Source organism: Homo sapiens, chromosome 11, assembly GCF_000001405.40.
Source record: "Homo sapiens chromosome 11, GRCh38.p14 Primary Assembly".
Taxonomy (NCBI): Eukaryota; Metazoa; Chordata; class Mammalia; order Primates; family Hominidae; genus Homo; species Homo sapiens.
The window spans coordinates 101977485-102003638 of NC_000011.10; the positions used below are offsets into that span (position 1 = coordinate 101977485).

The 26154-nt window shown below is 37.7% G+C and overlaps 1 protein-coding gene across 2 annotated transcripts in view; it reads left to right on the top strand.

Annotated features, from left to right (window-relative positions):
• Positions 1–23578, top strand: part of CEP126 (centrosomal protein 126) — an 86053-nt gene extending 62475 nt beyond the window's left edge. For both annotated transcript variants that reach the window (NM_001363543.2, NM_020802.4), the window contains 5 exons: positions 863–975; positions 4405–4480; positions 9348–9557; positions 15294–15358; positions 20115–23578. In NM_001363543.2, the coding sequence (NP_001350472.1) occupies positions 863–975; positions 4405–4480; positions 9348–9557; positions 15294–15358; positions 20115–20159 (509 nt within the window). In that variant the 3' untranslated portion in view covers positions 20160–23578. The remainder of the gene's footprint in view (positions 1–862; positions 976–4404; positions 4481–9347; positions 9558–15293; positions 15359–20114) is intronic.
• Positions 23579–26154: the final 2576 nt, after the last annotated feature.

Below are 26154 nucleotides of genomic sequence, written 5' to 3' on the forward strand. Positions count from 1 at the left end.
GCTTGGCATGGTGGCATGCACCTGTAGCCCTAGCTACTCAGGAGGCTGAGGCAGGAGAATCACCTGATCCCGGGAGGCAGAGGTTGCAGTGAGCCGAGATCGCACCACTGCACTCCAGCCTGGGTGACAGAGCAAGACTCTGTCTCAAAAAAAAAAAAAAAAAAAAGAAAAGAAAAATAATATAATAAACATTCATGTAACTACAACTCACCTTAAATAATAAATATCAAAGATATAGTAGAAGCCCTACAAAAGTTATTTTAGCCACTTTGTTATTTTGTGAGAGCTTGTTAAGATACTATAAGATACGCATAAATTCACTTACCTGGGCACACATAAATTTTAGTACATTGCAGGAAGCTAACGAGAGCTAATGAATGATGACACCACTGTCAACCTCTCACGCTTGGAATTTTAACTCTTCTTTTAAGATAACTGAGTTTACTTCATGCATTACATGAGCATCTACTTGCAAAATAACCAGGGTGCCAGTGTCAATCATATATTACATGAGTAAAATTTAACTTCTAATTTTTAGATAATAAATATGAATTGGAATTCTAATATGTTCTTGAAGCACACCAGTGGATTATCTTACACAATCTTCTGGTGTTCTGTGTCATGCTCTGGAGGTTACTGCTCTAAACTATAAATCCCTCAGAAGCAAGGATTTTGTTGAATTCATCATTTTAACTGTGCCATGCTTAGAGCATATAAGAGGAGCTCAATAAAGCATGCTAACTGAATGAATTAAACTTACAGAGTTTTCTTGATATTTGAAAGTAACTTGAAAATTTGCAGTGGGTATATATTGGCTACTCAACTAGCATAATTTTTAACATTGTGCTGGCATTTGTTTAAGGGTCTACTGTTATGAGAAGAAAACGAATTGCTGAAACTAAGCGGAGAAATATTTTAGAGCAGAAAAGACAAAACCCTGGATCTGTAGGACAGAAGTACAGTGAGCAAATTAATGTAAGTATGGTATTAATCAAAATCTCTATTCAATATTTAAAAATTGCTTGGAAAACAGAGGTTCTTAAAGGACTATGCTCTTGCTGTAAACTGTATACCACAACATAAATATAATTATAGCCAAAGCCATTTGTGAAGCAGTCTTGGAATCTTTATGCTAGGAGATTATTCCACTATACCTACTTGCTATGTTCTGTATAATCAGTTACTAATGAAAGTTTTAAACCAACTTTAAATCATTATTATTATTTTAGTTGTTATTATTGATAGCCAATGCTGGAAAAAATGAGGTCATTCACAACAAAATTCAACAAAGCTACTTAAATATACACTTTAAAAAGAAAGTAAAGTAAATTAGAGACCTGGATAGAAGAAACAAGTATGCTAGGCCAGGCGCGGTGGCTCACACCTGTAATCCTGGCACTTTGGGAGGCCAAGGTGGGTGGATCACCTGAGGTCAGGAGTTCAAGACCAGCCTGACCAACATGGTGAAACCCCCGTCTCTACTAAAAATACAAAAAAATTAGCCAGGGGTGGTGGCAGGTGCCTGTAATCCCAGCTACTCAGGAGGCTGAGGCAGGAGAATTGCTTGAACCTGGGAGGCGGAGGTTACAGTGAGCTGAGGTCGCATCATTGCACTCCAGCCTGGGCAACAAGAGCAAGACTCCATCTCAAAAAGAAAAAAAAAAGCATGCTAATCATAAAGACAACTATAGTTTCATGTGACTGAATATCCTATTTGTGTCTGAGCTTCCTGGAAGACATGGCAAAAAGGAAAATTAGATGAGTTATATAATTCTCAAGGGAAATTGATAATGATGTTGTTTTGGGGATACAGTTTTAAAAAACATTTCCTATTGAGGACCTTTCATAGGGAACTTTGAAATACATAAAGAATATGCTCCTAATAACGGTTCCACAACAAATGAATAAAGAGTTTAATATGGCTGTTCAAGATAGAGGTCTTCAATAAAAGTAAAAAGCATAATAACAATTTTAAAATAATGGCCAGGCGTGGTGGCTCATGCCTGTAGTCCCAGCAGTTTGGGAGGCCAAGGCAGGAGGATTACTTGAGCTCAGGAGTTCAAGACCAGCATGGGCAACATAGCAAGACCTCGTCTCTGCAAAAATAAAAATAAAAAAGCCAGGCACTGGAGTCCCAGCTACTTGGGAGGCTGAGGTTCCGGGAGGATGCATGAGCCCAGGAGTTTGAGGCTGCAGTAAGCTATGACTGTGCCACTGTACTCCAGCCCAGGTGACAGAGCAAGACCCTGTCTCTCAAAACAAATTAAATAAATAAAATTAAAATTAAAATAAATGGAGGTAATTCTGTAAGAGCTAAGTAAGTGAAATCAAATATGGCATTTTCTAGAGGTCTAACTTGATCCAAGGATTGACTTTAGAATATTAAAAGTCTAGATAGATAAGTAAATAGCATTTCACTTGGAATTTCCACTTTAAATATCACTCTGACTTTTTTTAATAAAACTGGAATATTTTTAATAAAATGCCTTATGAAGAATTTATATTCCAAGTTACTGGTTGAAGGTGCTATAATTTGTATATTATAGGAAGTACTGATTTTTATATGGATAAGATTACTAATGTGGAGAATAATCAACAATGATCTAATCTTATCAGCAAAACAAGTCATTTAGTTGTATGTTTATGGAAATAAAGTTAATCACATTACCCATATATTTTTATTGCTTAATAGCGTAATGGTTAATTATAGATATAACTTCCTGATTACAAATAAAACAATGCCTAACAAGTCCTTCCATTTCAACTGCCATGTTCCCATCCAACGTCTCAAAATGCACAATGCAAAAACATCTTTACCCTTATTTTTTCCTTATTTTCATTAATATATTATAAATTTAAAAGTAATATGTAGTTAATAACCAAGGAAACAAACAAACAAAATTTTAAATGCCTGTTATTAGTGCCCTCTGTAAATTCATTTTTATTTTACTAGGTCTTATTCTATTTTTCTGTCTCTTGCTCTTTTGCATGCTTAATGTATTTAGAGCCCATTTTTGTCCTTTTCAGAAGCCTCCCTTCCACTTTCACATACAGATCTTCACCCATCCACTTATACACCTTCCAAAGTCTTGTTAGCCTAAGAATAGGTCAGTGTTCCTGAATCAAATTTTTTCATCCTTATTATTTTGACTTGTTTTTGTTTTTTATTCCAGAGCCTAAGCAAGGGTTCAGTCACTAGAACAGTGGCCCTTGTCACCTTGTATTAGGAAATGCATGTTATCATACTGGATTTTCTCCAGCCCATGACATCTATATGGAGAAAATCTCAAAGAGATAAGTGAAAGGTAGAAAAAGTACAATTGCCACTTTGCACGAGGGTTTCAGTCCAAGGTATCTCAAGTCTATAATGGAGATCAAACAAGACTATGAGATCTACTGAAGGAGAGCTGTTGCAAAAATCTGCAGTTTCTCCTCAGATCAGATTGAAGAAAAGTTACGCATAGTTATAGCCAGGCAGTTTTATCTGACAGAAAACAATTATTTCTTAAAGTGAAACAGAATGGTAATAAAGAAGGAGGTAGACCATATTCAGGGAAGGGAAGTTGGTATCTCTCAGAAAGTGTTAGATGTGTACACTTTTTGCCAGTGTTCTGAGACTTCCGTTTTCAAGGTTCTGTGCAGCATTGGGGCAGCTATTTGTGTTTTAAGTTTTGTCACGTAAGATAATTACCTATCCTTGGCATTAGCTGTAGTCAGATGCTTTTAGCTAATAGTTATGATTCACCCTTACAATGACAAACCAACTAGGTTAGAAACTTTAAGGTAATTTTTTACCTTTTCTTTAATTAGCACTTTTTTTTATTTTTGAGACAGAGTCTCGCTCTGTCACCCAGGCTGGAGTGCAGTGGCACAGTCTCAGCTCACTGCAACCTCCATCTCCTGGGTTCAAGTGATTCTTCTGCCTCAGTCTCCCAAGTAGCTGGAACCACAGGCACGTGCCACAACTCCTGGCTAATTTTTTATATTTTTAGTAGAGACAGGGCTTCACCGTGTTAGCCAGGATGGTCTCGATCTCCTGACCTTGTCATCTGCCCACCTCGGCCTCCCAAAGTGTTGGGATTACAAGCATGAGCCACCGTGTCAGCCTAATTAGCACTTTTGATTACCATCCAACTCACTTTACCTCTTCCAAATATCCAGGACAATATCATAATCTGAAAATTTTTTTGTGGACATAAAACATTTTTCATAATATTCCATTACCATAGAAATTCTTTATTATAATAATTCTTGTATTCAGCTCTAAAAAATGTAATATACAAGTTACATGAACAATTGTAGCTAAAAATATATACAGCAATTAAAAGTTTTTTAAAAGTTCATGTACATATTATGAATTTTAAATATGGAAATATGTTTTAATTCAATATTCTATTTTTGTAGAATTTTGGACAAAGTGTCCTGCTAAGTTCAAGTGAGCCAAAACAAACTACAAGGGGTACTTCTTATATTGAAGAAGGTATGTTTTAGTTTAAACATTTTTCTCTGATCTTTGTTCCCAGTGATTTTTTTTCTTGTATGCCTATTCTCAGATGCTAACGTATTATGTAATTGTTAAAGCACCATTTAAAACCTGAACTCTCCTCACCCCTGCACATCCAGGTCATTGTCAGTGTTCCTTTATTCTAAATAATAATGTATTGAACATCTTTCTACATCAAGTTATTTTCTGATTTTTACTTATTTCTGTAGGTTAGATTTCCAGAATTAAAATTACAGTAACTGACATGTAAATGCCACCCAGTAAATATTTATTGAATTAAACTCCATGTATTAAATGAATACTGGATCAAAAGAAATAAGCATTGATATGGCTGTTCATATATATTGCTAAAGTATTTTCCGGAAAAGTATTATTCAAAATTGTTCTAGTAGTGTGTGTCCAGTGGTGTATGTCAACTTGAGGTAGAATCTTTTCATATTTGCTATAGACAGAAAAATAGTATTATATTAGTTTTGATTTCTATACCTTTCATTAATATTATGCTTAATTGCTTTTCTGTGTATTTTTTGGTGAACTGTCTCTTTGTACTCTTTTTTCTTAGATATTAGAGTTCGAAATTTTCTTACTGATGTCTGCAAATTATTTAGCTATGAAGGATTCTAATTCTTATATTAGTTGAAGATGTTTCATTACTACTTGCATGTTATTCTACTTATATTGTATTTTCACATATATTTTAATTTGTATCTGTTCATTCAGTAAATGATTATTGAGAGCTAATCTTCTGCTTACAAGTAGGTATTGGATATACATGTAGAATATCCCTAATCCAAATATTTCAAAATCAAAAATGCTCCAAAATCCAAAATTTTTTGACCCCTGACATGATACCACAAATGGAAAATTTTACACCTGACTTCATATGATGGGTCACAGCTAAAACACAAGCTCATACCATACAGTTTATTTAGCATCCCCAAGGGGAAAAAAGATCCTCTCAGCCCTCTTCAGCTGCACTATATCTTTCCCATGCACACCCAGATTCCCCCATGTAAGCATGCTCACAAGGAGTAATAAAATGATACATGTACCAATGGCAGATTCCCCACGAGACCCCACATGGGGCCAAGACCTACATGCATTACTCACTGTATTTTTTTGCTTTTTCTCTGCTTTGTGATGTAAAGATATTGTTGAAAATATCAAAAAGACCTGAAGATACCCCTGTGGGTAGCAGTGATAAGAAAAAGAGGAAACATTTCTGTTTATCAATAGCCCAGAAAGTCAAACTTGGAGAAACTACACCAGCAACCTAAGTGTAAAATGTCTTATAGAAAAGGATGGTGTTGGAATGACCACAATATATGACCTGAAGAAACAGAAGGATAAACTGTTGAAGTTCTGCTTTGGAAGAGATGAACAGAAGTTAATGCAAAACATTAAACACTGCATAGGATTTCAACCATGAAGTCAAAGAGTGGATCCATCAGCGTCGCATGAGCACATGCCACTTAATGGTATGCTGATCATGAAACAAGCAAAGATCTATCATGATGAACTGAAAATTGAAGAGAACCATGAATATTCAACAGGCTGGTTATAGAAATTTAAGACACAGCATTATTTTTAAAGATTTGTGGTGATCAAGCGTCTGCTGATTACAAAGCAGCAGAGAAATTCATTGAAGAGTTTGCCAAGGTCATCGCTGATGAATATCTGACACCAGAAGAAGTATATGTTACTGATGAACATCACTGGTTTGGTGTTGTTACTCAAAAAAACATTGACTATAGCTGATGAGACAGCCCCTACAAGAATTAAGAATAACAGAATAACTGCTAGGATGTGCTAATGACTCAGTCACGCCCAAGTGTAAATTTGCTATGATAGGCAAAAGCTTGTGTCCTCACTGATTTCAAGGAGTGAATTTCTTACCAGTCCATTAATGTGCTAACAAAAGGACATGGATCACCAGGGACATCTTTTCTGATTGGTTTCACAAACACTTTATATCAGGGAAGCTGGATTGAATGATGACTGCAAGATTTTGTTATTCTTTGACAACTGTTCTTTTCATCCTCCAGCTGAAATTCTCATCAAAAATAATCTTTATGCCACGTGCTTTCCCCCAAATATTACTTCATTAATTCAGCTGTGTGACCAGACTATCGTTAGGTAGATGAAGAGTAAATACATATAAACACTTTCTTGAACAGCATGCCAGCAACAGTGAACAGAGATGTGGATGTAGAAGGTTTTCAAAACGAGTTTAGCATGAAAGATGCCATACATGCTGTTGCAAACACTTGGAACACAGGGACTAAAGACACAATTGTGCATTCCTGGCACAACCTCTGGCCTGCAACTATGTTCAGTGATGATGAACAAGGTAGTGACTGAAGGATTCTGTATGTCAAGTGAGAAAAAATTATGTCTGACCTCATTACGTAAGCAAAAAAATATACCTTCAGAGTCTATCAGTAAGCTGGAAGAAGTGGATATCAAAGAGGTTATTAACATCGATAATAAGACTCCAGGTGTTTTCATTGACCAATGATGAAATAGCCAAAAGAGCTCTGAATTAAGATGATTGTGATAATAGTGATGATAATGGCATTGTTAACACTGAAAAAGAAAAAGGTGCCAATTGACAATATGATGAAAATGTGTGATGGGTTTATTGAACGACTAGAGCAGTGTACACTCATAACAACAAGAAATTATGTCAGTTTATAAAATCAAAGAGAGGCTTATAGGACAAAAAAAGACATTGTAAATGAGGCAAAAGTCTCTGGAAGAAACATTTTTTAAGGTCATCTAGCAGAATATTTCCTCATCCCTAGAGGACCCACTTCCTTGTGCCTCAGCTGCTTCTGATGTTTCTTCTCACCTAAAAAAATAAAATACAGTGTACAGTAACCATCTGGTCAAAATGTAACATAATACCTAAGATTGGAAGCCTGCCATTGTTCCTTGTTGCTGTTGTTGAACAGCCGACACAGGTATTCTGGTGATGTTACTGTGGTGCTTAGTTGCCCTGAACACATTATTTTCTGACAGTGTGAAGGATACATCTTATTTTTTACTGTTAAGTACTTACGTGTGAATAGGTGTAAGAACATTATTGCTTTTCAGTAGATATAAATTTGGAGTCAGGAATAACAGTGATACCAAACAACCACAGATAATCCACATAGGTTGCTGATACAGTGATATCTTTGCTTTCTGATGGTTCAATATACACCAACTTCATTTCATGGACAAAATTATTTAAAATATTATATAAAATTACCTTCAGGTATGTGTATAAGGTATATATGAAACATAAATGAGTTTCTTTTTTTTTTTTTTTAAGCAGAGTCTCACTCTGTCACCTAGGCTGAAGTGCAATGGTGCAATCTTGGTTCATTGCAACCTCCGCCTCTCAAGTTCAAGCAATTCTCCTGCATCAGCCTCCCAAGTAGCTGGGATGACAGGCGTATGCCACCATACCTGGGTAATTTTTGTATTTTTAGTTGAGATGAGGCTTCACCATGTTGGCCAGGCTGGTCTTGAACTCCTGACCTCAGGTGATCCACCCACTTCGGCCTCCCAAAATGCTGGGATTACAGGCATGAGCCACCGCATCCAGCTGAGTTTCATGTTTAAACCTAGGTCTCATCACCAACATATCTCATGTGTATGCAAATATCCAAAATTCTAAAAAAGTCCAAAACCTGAAACATATCTAGTCCCAAGCATTTTGGACAAGGAATACTTAACATTTACAATAATGAAAAAAATATACAAAAGTGTTGCTCTTCAGAAGTGTAAAGTCTATTAGGGAAGACTGGCTTTAAATAAACATGTTTTATTTAGTCTTTTCTTACTGATGTCTCCATTACTTTTAAGCTTTGTCAAAGAACCTTCCCAATACAGACATTTAGAAACATTTGTTTCATTTTCTTCTGCTTTAATTAATGGGTTGATTCCTTAAGTTTGTCTTTAATTTCTTACGAATTTGTTTAAACAAACAGTGGGAAGTAAAACTCTGAATTGATTTCTTTTTTTTTTTTTTTTTTTTGAGACAGAGCTCCAGGCTGGAGCACAGTAGCACAATCTCAGCTCACTGCAACCTCCACCTCCTGGGTTCAAGTGATTCTCCTGCCTGAGCCTCCCAAGTAGCTGGGATTATAAGCACCCACAATAACACCTGGCTAATTTTTGTATTTTTAGTACAGACGAGGTTTCACCATGTTGGCCATGCTGGTCTTGAACTCCTGACCTCAAGTGATTCACCTGCCTCAGCCTTCCAAGGTGCTGGGATTAGAGGCATGAGCCACTGCACCCAGCCCAAATTGATTCTTTTATAAGCAAAAACTAATATGTAAAATCATCTTTCCCTTCTGTCAAATATTTGATGCTTCTTTGATCACATGTTCTTATATCTAATTGGGTCTGTTTCTAGGCTGTCAGTTCTGTTTAGCTGATCATCAAAGTTTCTAATCTTAAGGGTTTTTTGGTCTTACTTTGTTATAATTCATTATAACTACTATTATAAAGACAGTCTTCTTCATCTTTTTTGTACTACCAATGAATAACAAACATGACAAAAACTATCTGCATTATATAGTTTTTTTCTTTAGTTCAAGTAATACTCTGGGAATTTTTATTAACTCACTGCCGTCATTTTGAATATCCTTTTTTAAAAAACGAAGGATAGGAAAATGCTAGATAGAGGATCCTGATAAATGAAATCAAAGTAGCAGATATTTGCTAGGTTTCTGCTTGTAATATGAATACATACAGACAGTTAAGCATGTATAAGTATATGTAAGTATATATAAGGGCTGATCTCAAAGACAAAAGGGGTTCAAAGAATAACTGATGTAAGTTTCTGTAGTTTCAGATAGTACTTCTGAGTTTTTGATGGCTGAAAACTTAGTGAAAGCATCAGTGCCGGAGGATGAGATTCTGACTGTCTTGAATAGCAAACAGATACAGAAATCAAATCTACCTTTAAATAAAACTCAACAATTCAACATCTGCACACTGTCAGCTGAAGAACAGAAGATCCTAGAGTCCCTTAATGATCTCAGTGAAAGACTACATTGTAAGTATGGAAGAACACCTTTTATAAGAAATACTGCATTTATACTTAGACAATTTTAATTTAAACTTTAATTTAAAAATTGAAAAGAAAAATACAAAATATATCCATATTACCAACTACCTGAGTGCATAACCATTCAGACTATATTTGAATACTATTTCAAGTATGCCATATCATTTATGATGATGTCAACTTCTTTGGCAGACTTATCTGTCTTTTCAGAATATATGAATAGACTTCTGTTTCAGCAATGGACAGGCTACATATCTATACTGACCATCCATCAAAACAACCATAAATCCTTGATTAAGTATTTTTTAAACCTGCAATATAGTGATGAGCTAGTAAGAATGTAAGACATTCTTAAGACCAATAACTAAATGTAGATAAGAACTCAAAAAGATAAGGAGAGTGCAGCAGCTAGCTCTTGTCCTGAGGATATTTAACTCATGGGGTGAAATTGAACTTTGCTTTCCATGGCCTCATAGGAAAAAGGGAACAGGCCTACTCAGGATGAGTAGTCTCACAGAAGATCTTTCCACCATAAAGCTGGGCCACCCGAAGAGCTGTGCACTACACATGCATACACAGAGGAGGCAGCGCAGGGAGAGGGAATTTTTTTCTAAAAAAAAAAAAAAGGCTTGCATTTTTTAAACTTCAGTATTGAGCAGGTGATAGAGGAAAAATGATCCCTGAGAATGTAGAATCACAGTCTAATACAAGTATCACACTAATTTACAGCCCATACTCACATTAACTGAATAGTTCTTAAGATCTCAAGCAAAGAACTTAATTTAGAATGATCCCAAACTGGTAGTATTCCAAAACACTTGGGAAAAGTACATTTATGTATCTTCTGCACCTATATTCCAGTCCTCAAAGAATTATCACAAGTGAAATCCAAGGAAAATGAGCAGCCTACAATTAAAAAAAAAGTAAATAACTTAATCCGTAATGAAAAAAGGCACCAAGAAAAAAAATCAAAAGAATCCACAAAACAGAATAAACAGACCCAGAAAGGATTCAGATAATGAAATTACCAGGCACAAACTATAAATAACTATGCTTGTATGCTCTAAAGTTGTCAGAAATAAGCTTTAAAATGCAGAAATGCAGTCATTTTTAAACTTAAACATGCAGGGAATAAGAAACTATAAAGAAAGAGCAAACAGATTTGAAAAATGGCCCAAATAGAATGCCTGGAAATTGAAAATATAATAATTGAAATGTAAAATTTAGTAGGTGGTTTAACCACCAGATTACAGACGTCTGAACAGAGAATTAGTAAACTAGATTATGAATCAAAGAAATTTATCCACAGTATATCTTAGAGAGACAAAGAGATGGAAAATATGATATAGAGCTTAAAAGACACAAAAGAGTAAATAAAAAGGTCTGAAAGGCTAAGACAATATCTAAAGTGATAACGGTTGACAACTTTTCCAATTTGATGAACAATGCCAATCTACAGATTCAACAACCCAACACATTTCAGAGTAAATAAAAAGAAATGACCACTAAGATACATCCACAATGAATGTTAATCAGCAACAAAAAGGCAGAAAACAATGAAAAAAAATCAGGAGATATTGACAACATGTCCAATGTGCTGAGAGAAAGTAACTTTCAAATTTAATACCTTCTTAACATGAAAATGTCTCTCAAGAAGGGGGGTGAATTAAAAATATGTTCAGACAAAAACGAAGAGACTTTGTTAACAGCAAATATATGTATATGTATATATATATATATATGTCACTTTATGATGAGCACTTATGATGAGCAAAGTCTTACTTCAGAAGAAATACATAAGATTTTTATATGCACTTGAGAACATAGCCTCAAATATATAAAATATTTTTAACCACGGTGGGTGATTTTAACATACCATTGTCAGTAATTGATAGAATAGATTTTAAAAATCAAATAGATGTATAAAAATTGACTATGATTAACAAACCTGATCAAAGGGGCACGTTCTTTGTAAGTAAACGTACAACCTTTATAAAATGAACCATGTATAAGACCATGAAACAAGCCTTAACACATTTCAAAGGATCAGAGTCACACAGACCATATCCTCTAACCACAATGCAATTTACCTGAAATCTACTAACCAAAAGATAGCCATTAAGAAACACATTTCTAAATAAATCATGATTCTGAAGAAAAAAAATAATAGGAATTTCTAATTATTTATATATGAACAATAATAGAAATATTTTATGTATCTATCAGATTTTCTCTACCTTAACACCGTTGACATTTTGAGCTGGATAATTTTTATTGTGGGGGACTGTCTAGTGCATCGTAACATGTTTAGCAGCATCCCTGGCCTTTACCCACTAGATGCCACAGCACTTCCCTATCATGACAATGAAGTGCTCCCAGACATTACCAAATATCCCCCGGGTGGCAAAAATCACCTATGGTTCAGAACCACACACATATTATACGTATATATTTTGTGTGTGTGGATTCTATTTCCGCCTAAAATGTAGAAGGCCAGAATGCATCAATCCCATTCTAAGAACAATAAAAGATAAGTGACAAAAGTATAACTTTTCTTGAGCCAATTAGAGAGCTGAGGTCACATCACAACCAAGCAGCCTAGCATCCAAGGAAACACAGAAACAGGCCGGGCGCGGTGCCTCACGCCTGTAATCCCAGCACTTTGGGAGGCCGAGGCGGGCGGATCACGAGGCCAGGAGATTGAGACCATCCTGACTAACTCGGTGAAACCCCGTCTCTATTAAAAATACAAACAAATTAGCCGGGCGTGGTGGTGGGTGCCTGTAGCCCCAGCTACTAGGGAGGCTGAGGCAGGAGAATGGCATGAACCCGGGAGTCAGAGCTTGCAGTGAGCCGAGATCGCGCCACTGCACTCCAGCCTGGGCGACAGAGTGAGACTCCATCTCAAAAACAAAAAGGAAACACAGAAACATCTAAAGAGAGACAGGTTGTGAACACTTTCTCACCCATGGGAGAATATGAGAGAGGGAAATGTCAGGTTCCATACAAGCTGATATTAGAAATTGTTTAAATTTTCAACAGATTGCTAAAAGATGAATGTGGACTACTATGAGGATGTAGAACCACTGGGAGCCATAGGCACAAGGGAACCTCACACCTACTCAGATTCTTCTCCGTGGATCTACACTGAGTGTGTGTTCATGAGGCAAATAGGAGGCAGAGCAGGAGACAAGAGAAACCCTTCCTCAGTAGTGCAGGCCTGACAAAAGGCAGCAGCCACTGCTGTAGGAAAGGCATGAAGCGCCCCCCATACAGAACATTTCCCCCTGCAGAATAAAGGCCATCTGGGACAGAGGCAGCGTACCTTCTTGATTGCTCTCAAGGCACAGGTGAAGACTTACTGGGGCTAGTGAAACAGTAAAGGAAAAAAGCCTCTACCCCTGGAAGAGGAGCAAGACACATTCCCGGGCCAAAACCATTAGAGGTATCCTACTGTTGGTGGGAGGGTCTAAAATTCTCTTGTACAAAACCTGCCAAAGATAGAAGGCAAAGTTAACTGTCATGGGAAGGAGGAGCAGGAGAAAGAGAGGCCACACAGGGTCTGCTTAAGACTGAGCCTGGACCAGGACAACAGAAAAATTACCGTACTTCCCCACCACCAGATCAGCAAGTACCAAGTAACAAATAATAGAAATCTACTACTGAGAGACAGGCAAGAGCATAAAGAGAGATCCCTTCTACTGTGCGCACATGCAGGAAGGCCAAAACATGGGGGCAGAACAGGAACATTTCAGGGGGTGGGGGGACTCTCCAAGACCCCTGAATAAGTACAGAATAACACCAATGGAATTTGAAATTAGTAATGTTAGTAATTACTGTTGTCGGCTACAGCAACAACAAAACCCAAACCCACTCAGGGAGGCTGAGGCAGGCAGATCACTTGAGCCCAGGAGTTTGAGACCAGCTGGGCAACATGGTGAAACCCTGTCTCTACAAAAAATTCAAAAAAAAATTAGTCAGGCATGGTGGCACATACCTGTGGTCCCAGCTACTCCAGAGGCTGAGGTGGGAGGATAACCTGAGCCCAGGGAGGTCAAGGCTGCAATGAGCCATGATCATAACACTGCACTCCTCCTTGGGCAACGGAGGGAGACCCTGTCTCAAAATAAATAAATAAATAAACAAACAGCTCAAATTCCCTACTAAGTTTTTAAACATCTACACATACACACTACACACACCTACACACACATACACTCCAGTGACCTAGCAGAAGTGGATATACTCATTTCAAGACACAAATACTATCTACCTCAGTTTCTAGTATTCCAAAAATCATATCCAGCATTCGTCAAAAATTATGAGACATACAAAAAGAACAAGAGAAAAAAAACACTATCAAGGGACAAAGCAATCAATGAATAAGATGCAAAGATGACCAAGATGTTGGAACTATCAGACAGTAATTTAAATAACTATGACTAATATGTTAAAGGTTATGGTGGGAAAGATGAACAACATGAGAGAGATAGACAACATGCATGAACAGATGGAGAATTTCAGCAGAGAAATGAAAACTCTTAAGAGACAGATATGTGAGAAAGAAAAGTAACAGAAATGGAAAATGTTTTATATGTGTTCATCATTAGACTCAAGACACCACTGAGGAATCAGTGAATTTGAATATAGGTCAATAGAAATTTTCCAAACTGGAACAGTAAGAGAAAAAACAAAAAGAAAATTAACTACAGCTACACACATCATCATTGATGGATCTAAAAATACATAATTTGGGGCAAAAAACGTAAATCACAGGAGAATAAAGACAGTACAATTCTATTTATATGAAGTCTAAAAACAGATAAACCTAAACAATATTATTTTGCATCCTTGCAATTAATATGTGCTAAAATCACAAAGAAACAAAGCAGTGTAGTGGGTTAGTTACCTCTTTGGGTGAAGGAAGGAAATGAAATCCATAGGGCATTGTGGAGGCAAGAAGTGACAGGAAGCTTCCAAGGTAGTGATAATGTTCAAATTTCTTAATCTAGGTGGTTCCACAGACATTAGCTTTATAAGTATTCATTAAAATATGCATATGTTTTATATACTCTGTATTTTAAAATTAAAACTATTTTTAAAAAAAAATAAAAAGCAGGGAGCTACAATCATGAACTAAGGCTATGAGTTTAAGATGTAAAATTATGCAGGTAAAGAATAAAAAAATTAAGTCAATAATTGAAGAATTTTTTAAATTTTTGTTTGATACTTCTACATATTTAAATGCTTCATGTAAAAGATTCTGCCTGAATTATTTTTCTTTTGCTCAGATGCTTGCTATTATATAGACAAAAATCTAAAAATTGAAAAGGCAACCAAGTGACTCAATTTTTTATGCCTCAATAACTAAATAAACATCTCTTTTTTTCTGAGAGGCTCCAAGGATGAAATTAATATTTTTTTATTAAAAAAAGAGAAAGAAAGAAAACGTAATATTTGAATGAAGATCGTTATATAATAGTCAAAGTACTAGGAATTATCTTTTATCAACATAAGCTTTATGTAATTATTTCTAATCAAATTACTTCCACTTTTGGACCTAATATAAGTATAAAGACTATTTCTGGGGGTGACTGGAAAAAAGTGTCTTACTCAATTTTGAATATTTTGATACATCAGAATTTAATATTTGATTCTTTAGTCATTCTTCTATTTCTATATATGTAACTAAATTATTTTGGTATTGTGATATAATTATTTCAGATATACAAGAATCCATTTGCAAAAACCCATCCATCAAAAATACTTTACAAATAATACCACTTCTGGTAAGTATTTGAAGAAGCTCTTTTTTTCTTGTTTTAGGAAACTTCTGATTTTATGTACACATCAATACAGGTAAGAACCCCGTATTAATATTAATATTTCTTGGGATTGGTTTATAGAGGTTTTCTCCTCAACTGGCTTTTTATTATAAGACTGTTCATTAGAATTATGCAAATATCCTGTCATTTAAAAAAATCCTTAAAGGTCAGAATATGAAGTTTTTTTAACGTTTAGGTTCAGGGGTACATGTGCAGGTTTGTTAAATAAGTAAATTGTGTATCGCAGGGGTTTGATGGACAGATTATTTCATTGCCCAGGTAATAAGCAGAGTACCTGATAGGTAGTTTTTCAATCCTCTCCTTCCTCCCACCCTCCATGGCCTCAAGTGGGCCCCAGTGTCTGTTGTTCCCGTCTTTGTGTTCATGTGTACTCAATGTTTAGCTCCCACTTCTAAGTGAGAACGTGTGGTATTTGGCTTCCTGTTCCTGTATTAGTTTACTTAGGATTGTGGCCTCCAGCTCTATCCATGTTGCTGCAAAGGACATGATCTTGGTCTTTTTTATGGCTGCATAGTATTCCATGGTGTATATGTACCACATTTTCTCTATCCAGTCTACCATTGATGGGCATTTAGGTTGATTCCGTGTCTTTGTGAATAGTGCTTACAATGAACATACCCCTGCATGTCTTTATGATAGAATGATTTGCATTCCTTCAGGGTATATACCCGATAATGGGATTGCTGGGTTGAATGGTACTTCTGTTTTAAGTTCTTTAAGAAATTGCCACACTGCTTTCCACAATGACTAAATTAATTTGCATTCCCACCAGCAGTGTATAAGCATTCCCTTTTCTCCACAGCCTCACCAGTATCTGCTATTTTTTGACTTTTTAATAATAGCCATTCTAACTGGTGTAAGATGTTATCTCATTGTGGTTTTGATTTGCATTTTTCAAATGATTAGTGATGTTGAGCTTTTTTTCATATGCTTCTTGGTCACATGTGTGTCTTCTTTTGAAAAATGTCTGTTCATGTTCTTTGCCCACTTTTTAATGGGGTTGTTTCTTGCTTGTTAATTCATTTTAGGTTCCTTATAGATTCTTGATATTAGGCCAGGCATGGTGGCTCATGCCTGTAATCCCAGGACTTTGGGAGGCCGAGGCTGGCTGGTCACCTGAGGTCAGTAGTTCGAGACCAGCCTGGCCAACATGGTGAAACCCTGTCTCTACTAAAAATACAAAAAACTAGCCAGGCGTGGTGGTGTGCACCTGTAGTCCCAACTACTCAGGAGGCTGAGGCAGGAGAATCGCTTGAAACTGAGAGGCAAAGGTTGCAGTGAGCCAAGATTGCACCATTGCACTCCAGCCTGGGCAACAAGAGTGAAACTCTATCTCAAAAAGATTTTTTAAAAAGATTCTGGATGTTAGAACTTTGTCAGATGCATAGTTTGCAAATATTGTCTCCCATTCTGTAGGTTGTCTGTCTACTCTGTTGATAGTTTACTTTGCTGTGCAGAAGCTCTTTAGTTTAGCTAGGTTCCATTTGTCAATGTTTGCTTTTGTTGCAATTGCTTTTGATGTCTTCATCATGAAATCTTTACCAAGGCCTATGTCCAGGATGGTGTTTCCTAGGTTATCCTCCAGGGTTTTTATAGTTTTAGGTTTCATTTAAGTCTTTAATCCATCTTGAGTTGATGTTTTTGTGTATGGTATAAGGAAGGGGTCCAGCTTCAATCTTCTGCACATGGCTATCCAGTTATCCCAGCACAATTAATTGAATGGGGAATCCGTTCCCCATTGCTTGTTTCTGTCAACCTTGTTGAAGATCAGATGGTTATAGGAGTACAACATTATTTCTGGGCTATCTACAGAATATAAACATTTTTATATTCAGAGTATTTTCATCAGTCATGGGAGCAGAAACAGGTATTAGTGTACCAATCTTCAAATAACTTTAGATGTGTATCCTAATTGAAAAACTGCTAAGAAGTGTACATCGGTAAGTATCCATATCTTTTCTGTGTCTTGAGAGTTTTTTTTTTTTTTAATTATACTTTAAGTTCTGGGATACATGTGCAGAACATGCAGGTTTGTTACATAGGTATACATGTCCCGTGGTGGTTTGCTGCACCCATCAACCCATCATCTACATTAGGTATTTCCCCTAATGCTATCTCTCCCCTAGCCCTCCACCCCCGACAGGCCCTGGCGTGTGATGTTCCCCTCCCTGTGTCCATGTGTTCTCATTGTTCAACTCCCACTTACGAGTGAGAACATGCAGTGTTAAAACTAGACATTACTGAATCTTTTTTTTTATTTTTTGCCTTGGCACTGGGTTCTGGTAAAAATGATCTGGAACAGCACTTTTCAAACTTTAGTGTACTTTGTACCACCTACAGATCTTGGTAAATACATTTTCTAATGTAGTAGGTCTGGGATGAGACTAGGTAATACCAATGCTGCTAACTAACTTTGAAACACAAGTTAGTTCTATGTGAAGCACTAACTTCACATAGAAACATGAACATGGATACACATTGGAATCACATGGAGAGCTTTAAAAAATACTGATGCCTGGGTCATACCTGAGGGCAGCTTGGGCATTTAGATATTTTTAAGCTCTCTGAAGAATTCAAATGGGAAGCGAAGGATGAGAAACACTGGTCTAGAAACAGTGATGACAAACAAGAAAGTCACCTACCCTTCCTGGTCCCCTGTCCTTTGTCCATCTGGGAGTTCGTGGGGAAGGGGATCAAAGTGTAGCCTGCACTGATGAGGAAAGCCAGTGAAGTAGTCAGTCCAAGTACCCTCTCCCATTGACAGTACTGGACATACACTGACAAATTCTTCTTTTGCTGGACTTCTCTTAGTCACCAATCTATCAATAAAACAGCAGTACTACATAAATGTTGAATTAACTATTATAGTCAAGAAAGAGATTTATGAAATACTTTCATGTCTCTGACAAATTTTGCTTTGCTTCTCATTTGCATTGTATAAGTGGTCTTCCATTTCTTCTTCCGTTTATTAAATATTAAGTACCGTCTATGTGCCAGAAACTTTGCTACATTCTAAAAATACATCATGAGCACAAAATAGCCAACTTTGCTAAGGCTAGGATTCACATTTCTCAGTTAGAAATTTTGGCCACAAAAGAAGAAGGCAGAAGTGGTCAGAAGCCATTATTGTTAGAAGATCATCATGGTTAGTCAGTGATGGACAAATACAAAGGTGCCCAGCAGCTCACTCCTCTCCACTCTATAGCATCTTCATGACTACAGGCCCTGCTGACCAACAGCAGCCCTAGGCCGACCACCAGGCACTGGGCTGCAGACCTGAAGACAGTAGCTTCAGAAAAGCAGAGTCGTTCCACATTCGGCAGTTTCCATAGATTTCCCCAGCAAGCTCCCCCTTCATAGTTCCACTTCAGCAGCTTGGGCATGCTTGGATTATCAGATTTCCCTGCAAGCTTCAATTTGTTTACCCACACCAGTGCTTCAAACAGCCTGCTCAGTCATCCTTTCTCTGATCCTGACTGGCACGCCACAGTAGAGCAGGCTACATTTTTATCCCTTGCCCCATATACTCTGATCCTTCAATTTTCCTTTTCCAGACCCTCATTTTCCCAGCTCCTATATTTGGTAAAATGTAATTCCTGTGATAAGTACCTTAGTCCCATAATTCTTATAATGGCTTTGTTTTCCTGATGGATACGGTCTGATAGAGGAAACATAAAAATAAGCGGTCTCTTATAAATCAGTGTAAAAAGCACTAACTTCACAGGCATATGAACATATGGGAAATGAACAACATTCTGAGTTCTGAAAAAAGCTTCAGAGTTAGCCAAATGAATATTATTTCAGAGACTGAAAAGGAGAAAGGAACTTCCAAGGACTAAATGAAACAGATTCAGGATGAAGAGGGAGAGAAAAAACTGGAGAGGGAAGCAGGGGCTAATGTTCCCATAGGTTTCCTTCTGGCGTGCCTAACTATGTGGGTTCCAGGCCCTTTCATCATTAGTTCCGTCGGACATTGTTTTCACAAGCTCACCCCCAAGAACTCCCATTTCTGCTATACAACACTATAGAGTTTTATTGGTACCCAGAATTTATCTAGAAGAAAATTTTAAATAAAGAGCTTTAAATGCAGGTTCAAATAAATTAGAATTTATCATTTCACTTTGAACCCTGAATTTTTATTTATTTATTTATTTTTGAGACGGAGTCTTGCTCTGTCACCCAGGCTGGAGTACAGTGGAGCAATCTCAGCTTACTGCAACCTCCGCCTCCCAGGTTCAAGGGATTCTCCTGCCTCAGCCTCCCGAGCAGCTGGGATTACAGGCACGTGCCAGCACACACAGCTAATTTTTGTATTTTCAGTAGAGACAGGGTTTTACCATGTTGGCCAGGCAGGTCTCGAACTCCCGACTTCGTGATCCGCCTGCCTCGGCCTCCCAAAGTGCTGGGATTACAGGCGTTAGCCACTGTGCCCAGCCTGAAACCTGAATTTTTAATGATATTGTAAAACTGCACATTTTCAAAGTGGGAATTTTACCTTTTAGAGTAGAAAGGTACTGATGAACATAATGTAAGGGTTGAGGTAAATAATCTATAAAGTCCTCTGCAATCTTAAACTCATTACCTGGGAGAATGATGTCAGGATGTGTTGAATATGCCACTATTTGACATGTCAGCCTAGTTTGTAGCTGCAGTGTTTTGGCATGTGTTTGCATGCTTGTTTCTTCTTTCTGATTTCCAGGAGAAGAGAGAAGATAGAACCAGCAGCTGCAGAGACAAGAGATAATTCCAGCAGAATCCGTCTAAGAAGACCTTTCATGTACTTCCCTAGGACTAGATGCATACCGTTTTGTGAAAACCAGCCATAGGAAAACATGTGAGCAACAACCCCCATGAACATTTGTCCTAACTCAGATTTTGTGAGCAGTGAAGTTTAACAGAGCAGTGACATTTAACAAAGCAGTGAAGTTTAACAGAGTTCTGAGAATACCATGAAAGACATTATGCCTGCCTAAACAAAAAGCAGGACATAACCTAGCTCTGAATACATGCCACAAGGATGAAGCTTGTGAGTAGAGCAAACAAACGTTTTTCCAAAGAATTCACAGTGCTCCTTTGCAATTTATAGATTTCATGTTGAAATATATGTTAAATAAAATTTCTGTTTATTGAACCTCTTTATTAAACCTCTAACTTACTGATAAGATGTTTATGAAGTATGGCATATTTTGATTTTTTTAATTGTAATAAATATTCTTAAAGTTACCACATCCCACAAAATGGCCCTTGGTGGCAGCAATAGAGCAAAGGTTACCTTTTTGTATGGTGAAGGGAGGCCTTCCTATGGCTGTACAATTACATCGATTCTTCCAAATTTCATATTTCATACATGGCACTTTGGCATACCGAAAAAACATGAAATTTTTCATTAAAATGCCATGAATCAAGCCAGGGCCGTTGGCTTATGCCTGTAATCCCAGCACTTTGCAGGCCGAGGTAGACAGATGGCTTGAGCTCAGGAGTTCGTGACCAGCCTGGGCAACCCTGTCTCTACAAAAAATACAAAAATTAACCAGGCATGGTGGCATGCACCTGTAGTCCCAGCTACTTGGGGTGCTGAGGCGGGAGGATTACTTGAGCCCAGGAGGATTACTTCAACCTGGGAGGTTGAGGCTGCAGTGAGCTGTGTTTCGCCACTGCACACCAGCCTGGGTGACAGTGTGAGACCCAGCCTCAAAAAAAAAAAAAAAAAAGTGATGAATCAAAATTAGAAATTAAGAGTTTTAAGAAAACATGTGGCCTTTTATTAATAACACTACTAAATTTTGGTTCCTCCATAGAATTAGTTTTGAAACACTTGATGTAGTGAGAAATGCATTAACATGTTGAATGCCTACCATGTACCAAATTTTGTGCATATATTTTTTATTTAATCTGACCAGCCACCCAAACCATGGGTATTTTTGTCTCCACTTTAGAGATGAGAAACTGAGCCAAGGCCACATAGCTACCTACAGTGACAGAATCAAAATTCAAACTCAGGTTTATCTAGTTCCAAAACCCATGTTCTTTCTGCCACACCATGTTAGTAGAAATGGAAACTATTGGATGAAATGAGGAAAAACAGGAAAAGAATTCACTTTTTAAATGAAGAAATTAGTGAAAAAATTGACCTAATGAAGGAAACATTTGTGCTTTCCTATATTTTTAATTTTAAGAATAGGATTTCGGAAGGCGACAGAAAATTTAGTTCTTAGACATTTAAATAGAAAGTTGTGTGCCCCTATAGAAAATATTTGAGAATTTCTTATACTATCAAGAAAAAATTCTGTGAATTAAGATGTAATTTATAAAATAACATTTCAATGGGGGTAAACAGGCCAGAAGAGTGTGCCAAGTTGTTTGTGAATCATTCCAAGCACCTCAGATGAAAACTCACTTTTATTAAAAAAAAAAAAGACAAGGGTTTATATTCATATACACTAGTATATATGTACACAGCAGCATCCTGCATGCCAAAGTAGCTTCACCGTTAGTAATCCCTCACTTTAATACCTCTTAGGAACCAAAGAATGCCTCTACAAGCAAAAAGATAGTTGAAAATAGTTAAGATCCAAAGTCAGAATAGGCCAAAAAAAAAAAAAAAAAAAGCCTAAATAGTAAGCTGGTGAAACAAGATAAGATTTGCATTTTACTAGAACTTGCACATTATGATATTGTCCTTTTATGAAACTGTCATATGACCAGAATTCTTCTGTAATTCTGCCCATGACTCCTCCAGAATTTTAGTAGATACAGGGTGGGTTCATTAAGAGTGATAAAAGTGGGAAGACATAAAGAGCCTTTGTGAATTAAAGTGGAAGAGAATAACACTTTGCATGCTATAAACGTGAAAACTAACATTTTTGGCCAGACACAGTGGCTCATGCATGTAATTCTAGCACTTTGGAGGCCAAGGCAGGAGGACTGCTTGAGCCCAGGAGTTTGAGACCAGCCTGGGCAATGTAGCAAGACCCCATCTCTATATAAAATATAAAAATGTTGGCTGTGCACGGTAGCTTATGCCTGTAATCTCAGCACTTTGGGAGGCCAAGGCAGGCAGATCATGAGGTCAAGAGATCAAGACCATCCTGGCCAACATGGTGAAACCCTGTCTCTACTAAAAATACAAAAATAGCTGGGCATGGTGGCACGCACCTCTACTCCCAGCTACTAGGAGGCTGAGGCAGGAGAATCGTTTGAACCCAGGAGGTAGAGGTTGCAGTGAGCTGAGATTGCACCACTGCACCAGCCTGGCAACAGAGCAAGACTCCGTCTCACAAAAATGAATAAATAAAATAAAAATAAAAATGTTACTTTTTAAAAAGTAACTTTTTTAATAATATAAGAAAGAAAAATGCCCTTTCACACTGAATCTTCAAGTTCTAAGGAAGAAAAGAGTCTCCTTTCGAATGTGAAGAAGTAAATTTAGAGGAAATCAAACAAGCATCACTTTCCTCAGTGGAAAAACTTATGAAACTTCTTATAAGAGAGAGTAATCTCAGGCCGGACATGCTGGCTCATACCTGTAATCCCAGAACTTTGGGAGGCCGAGGCAGGTGGATCATTTGAGCTCAGGAATTCAAGACCAGCCTGGGTAATATGGCAAGAGCCCAACTCTACTAAAAATACAAAAAGAAAAGAAAACAGCCAAGCTTGGTGGTATGTGCCTGTGGTCCCAGCTACTGGGGAGGCTGAGGTGGGAGGATCGTTTGAGCCTGGGAGGCAGAGGTTGCAGTGATCAGGAATTGTGCCACTGCACTCCAACCTGAGTGACAGAGCAACACTCTGTCTTAAAAGAAAAAAAAAAAAGAGAGAGATAGTAATCTCTTGGGCAAAAGGTATCAAATAATTGAAAGAAAAGTTTAAACACATTTCCGAGAGGCAGGGCAACTAATAACTGGTCAGAAAAATTTAGACGGTCTTCATTTTAAAATTGGCATCAGGAAGGATTACCATGAACTTATTTTAAATCCATATTGTACCAGAATGACTATGTCTGTGTTTCTTAGGAATGTTGAAGCTTTTTGTGAAAACTGTACTGTATACATATATAAATATACACACACTTACATGTATGTATTTTGATAGATATTACATGGACTAAATTTTGTCAATTTCATGTAATTTACCCTTTGCAATAAAAATGATTCATTAAATATATAACTAAATGTGATTTGGTTTTTATAACTGTAAATTTTTAATATAAAAATTCCCAAAATGTTTGTTTGTATTTTCTTTGACATTGAGAAACCTGACACTCATTAGCCACAATACAGGCACTAATTTAACTCTAGTATACATGAAAATTTGCTTCAGAATTGCTAATCCACATACCTAGGAGAAACAGATTTCTAACTAAAGTACAGCATTTTTATCATTCTTTTCATCCCCAATCTTACTTATTCAGTCAACACACTGTTTTCCAAAGTCACTAAAGCCAGTTCCTTCTTCTCTACCCCCTTCACTGTGGTGGGTTTTTGTTTTGTTTTTTAAGAGTTGGGGGTCTCACTTTATCACCCAGGCTGGAGTGCAGTGGCATACTCATAGCTCACTGCAGCCTCGAACTCCTGGGCTCAAGAGATCCTCCTACCTCAGTCTCCCCAGTATCTGGGACTAAAGGCATGCATGGCAATGCCTAGCTTTTTTTCTTTTTCTTTTCTTTTTTTTTTTTTTTTTTTTTTTTTGTTTGGAGATAGGATCTCACTGTGTTGCCCAGGCTACACTGGAACCCTGGCCTCAAACCACCTTCCCATCTCAGCCTCCTGAGTCGCTAGGATTGCAGGAGTGATAGTTTACCAAGTGAATAATTTTAATACAGTTTAGATTCATTTGTCACAATCTGTATCCCATGTTGGATTCTTCCAACATCCTGGATGTTTTTCCTATTTGCATACAGTAAATTCACTCTTTGTAGAATTGTGTAGGTGTTGACATATGCATAGCATTGTATACCCATCACTACTGTACCATGCAGAACAGCCCTATCATGCCAAAAATTCCTTCATACAGCCCTGAGCAACCACTGATCTGGATTTTGTTTCTATTATTTTGCCTTTCCCAGAAAGGGGGAATATTAGAATAAAACTTTTGGTGCTGGATTGATGTCGGAGATATATAGAGAATTCTTACAATTTTATGTTGCTCAGCATCCATTTTGAATACAAGTTTAACTTTCTCATACCAAAGCAGGGCTCAGTCATCTTTGGCACAATTTCCAGTTCTACATTACACCCAGATGGCTCAAGCTGGTGGCCAGTGACAAGAACTTAGAGGGATCTCTCCTGCCTTGCGGACTGCACTCCCTGCTTTCCTGCCTCTCTTTAAATGGACCATTTAGACATTTGCCTATTAAAGTGGCCCACACTCCATTCCCTTAGACATGCTGCTAGACACACTTTCTCTCTGGCTCTTCCTTTCTGCCTCATATGACCTGGGGACAGAGGACTGCCCTCCTGACTCATTATGCCCTCCTTGCCCAGGATCTGTAAGTGAAAATCTTTGAACTTATTTCCTATTGTGGTGATGTACTGAATTTGTGCTTTCCATCTGAAGAACCAGGGGACACCAGGGAGAGCACAAGGTTGAACTCCCAGTGCCAAAGTGATGGTCAGGCAGGCATAAACTGGACATGGATCAGACAAGAGCCACAAGGGCATCTGCCAGTATAAACAAGTTTCCCATGTGAGGGACCCCCAGTCAGGTCAGGCAACTAGGACTTAGGCCATCCTCCAGGTAAAAGAAGTATCCCATGAAAGGCACACTGTAAACACCCACATCCATCTCCCCTTCATATCCTGTTGGGGTAGGGTTGCTAGCTACTCTGATATTGGAACCCCAATTTAGCTGGGGGCTCTCAAAAATAAGGTACCAAGGCCAGGCACGATGGTTCACGCCTATAACCCCAACATTTTGGGAGGCCGAGGGAGGAGGATTGCTTGAGGCCAAAATTTGAAACAAACTTGTGCAACATAGCAAGATCCAGTCTCTATAAAAATTGAAATAAAATAGCCAGGCATGGTGGCATGTACCTGTAGTCCTAGCTACTTGGGAGACTGAGGCAGGAGGATCACTTGAGCCCAGAAGTTCAAGGCTGCAGTGAGCCATGACTGCACCACAGCACTCCAACCTGGGCAACAAAGTGAGACCCTGTCTCTAAACAAATAATTTTTAAAATTTTAAAAACAACATATGAGTGTAAATTCATAATTTTAAAAATATAGATACAGATACATGGATACAGAAATATAGATATGTGTGTCTACATAGGTTAGTACATATATGTGTGTGTATATATATATATATATATATATATATATATGTCTTTGCTGACAGTATCTGACACACAAAAGACTTCACACCCAGATCTTGGTTTCTAAATACCATTCTCTAATAAAAGGATCCAGGGCTTTTAGAGAAGTGATTGAATCCAGGGCTAGGGCAGGCAAAATACAAGATACAGAGTAAGGTTATACTAAATTAAATATAAATAAAAGTGGGCTGGGTGCAGGTGGCTCACGCCTGTAATCCCAACACTTTGGGAGGCCGAGGCGGGCAGATCACCTGAGGTCGGGAGTTTGAGACCAGCCTGACCAACATGGAGAAACCCCATCTCTACTAAAAATAGAAAAACTTAGCCAGACGTGGTGGCAGGAGTCTATTATCCCAGCTACTCGGGAGGCTGAGGCAGGAGAATCGCTTGAACCCAGGAGGCGGAGGTTGCGGTGAGCTGAGATGGTGCC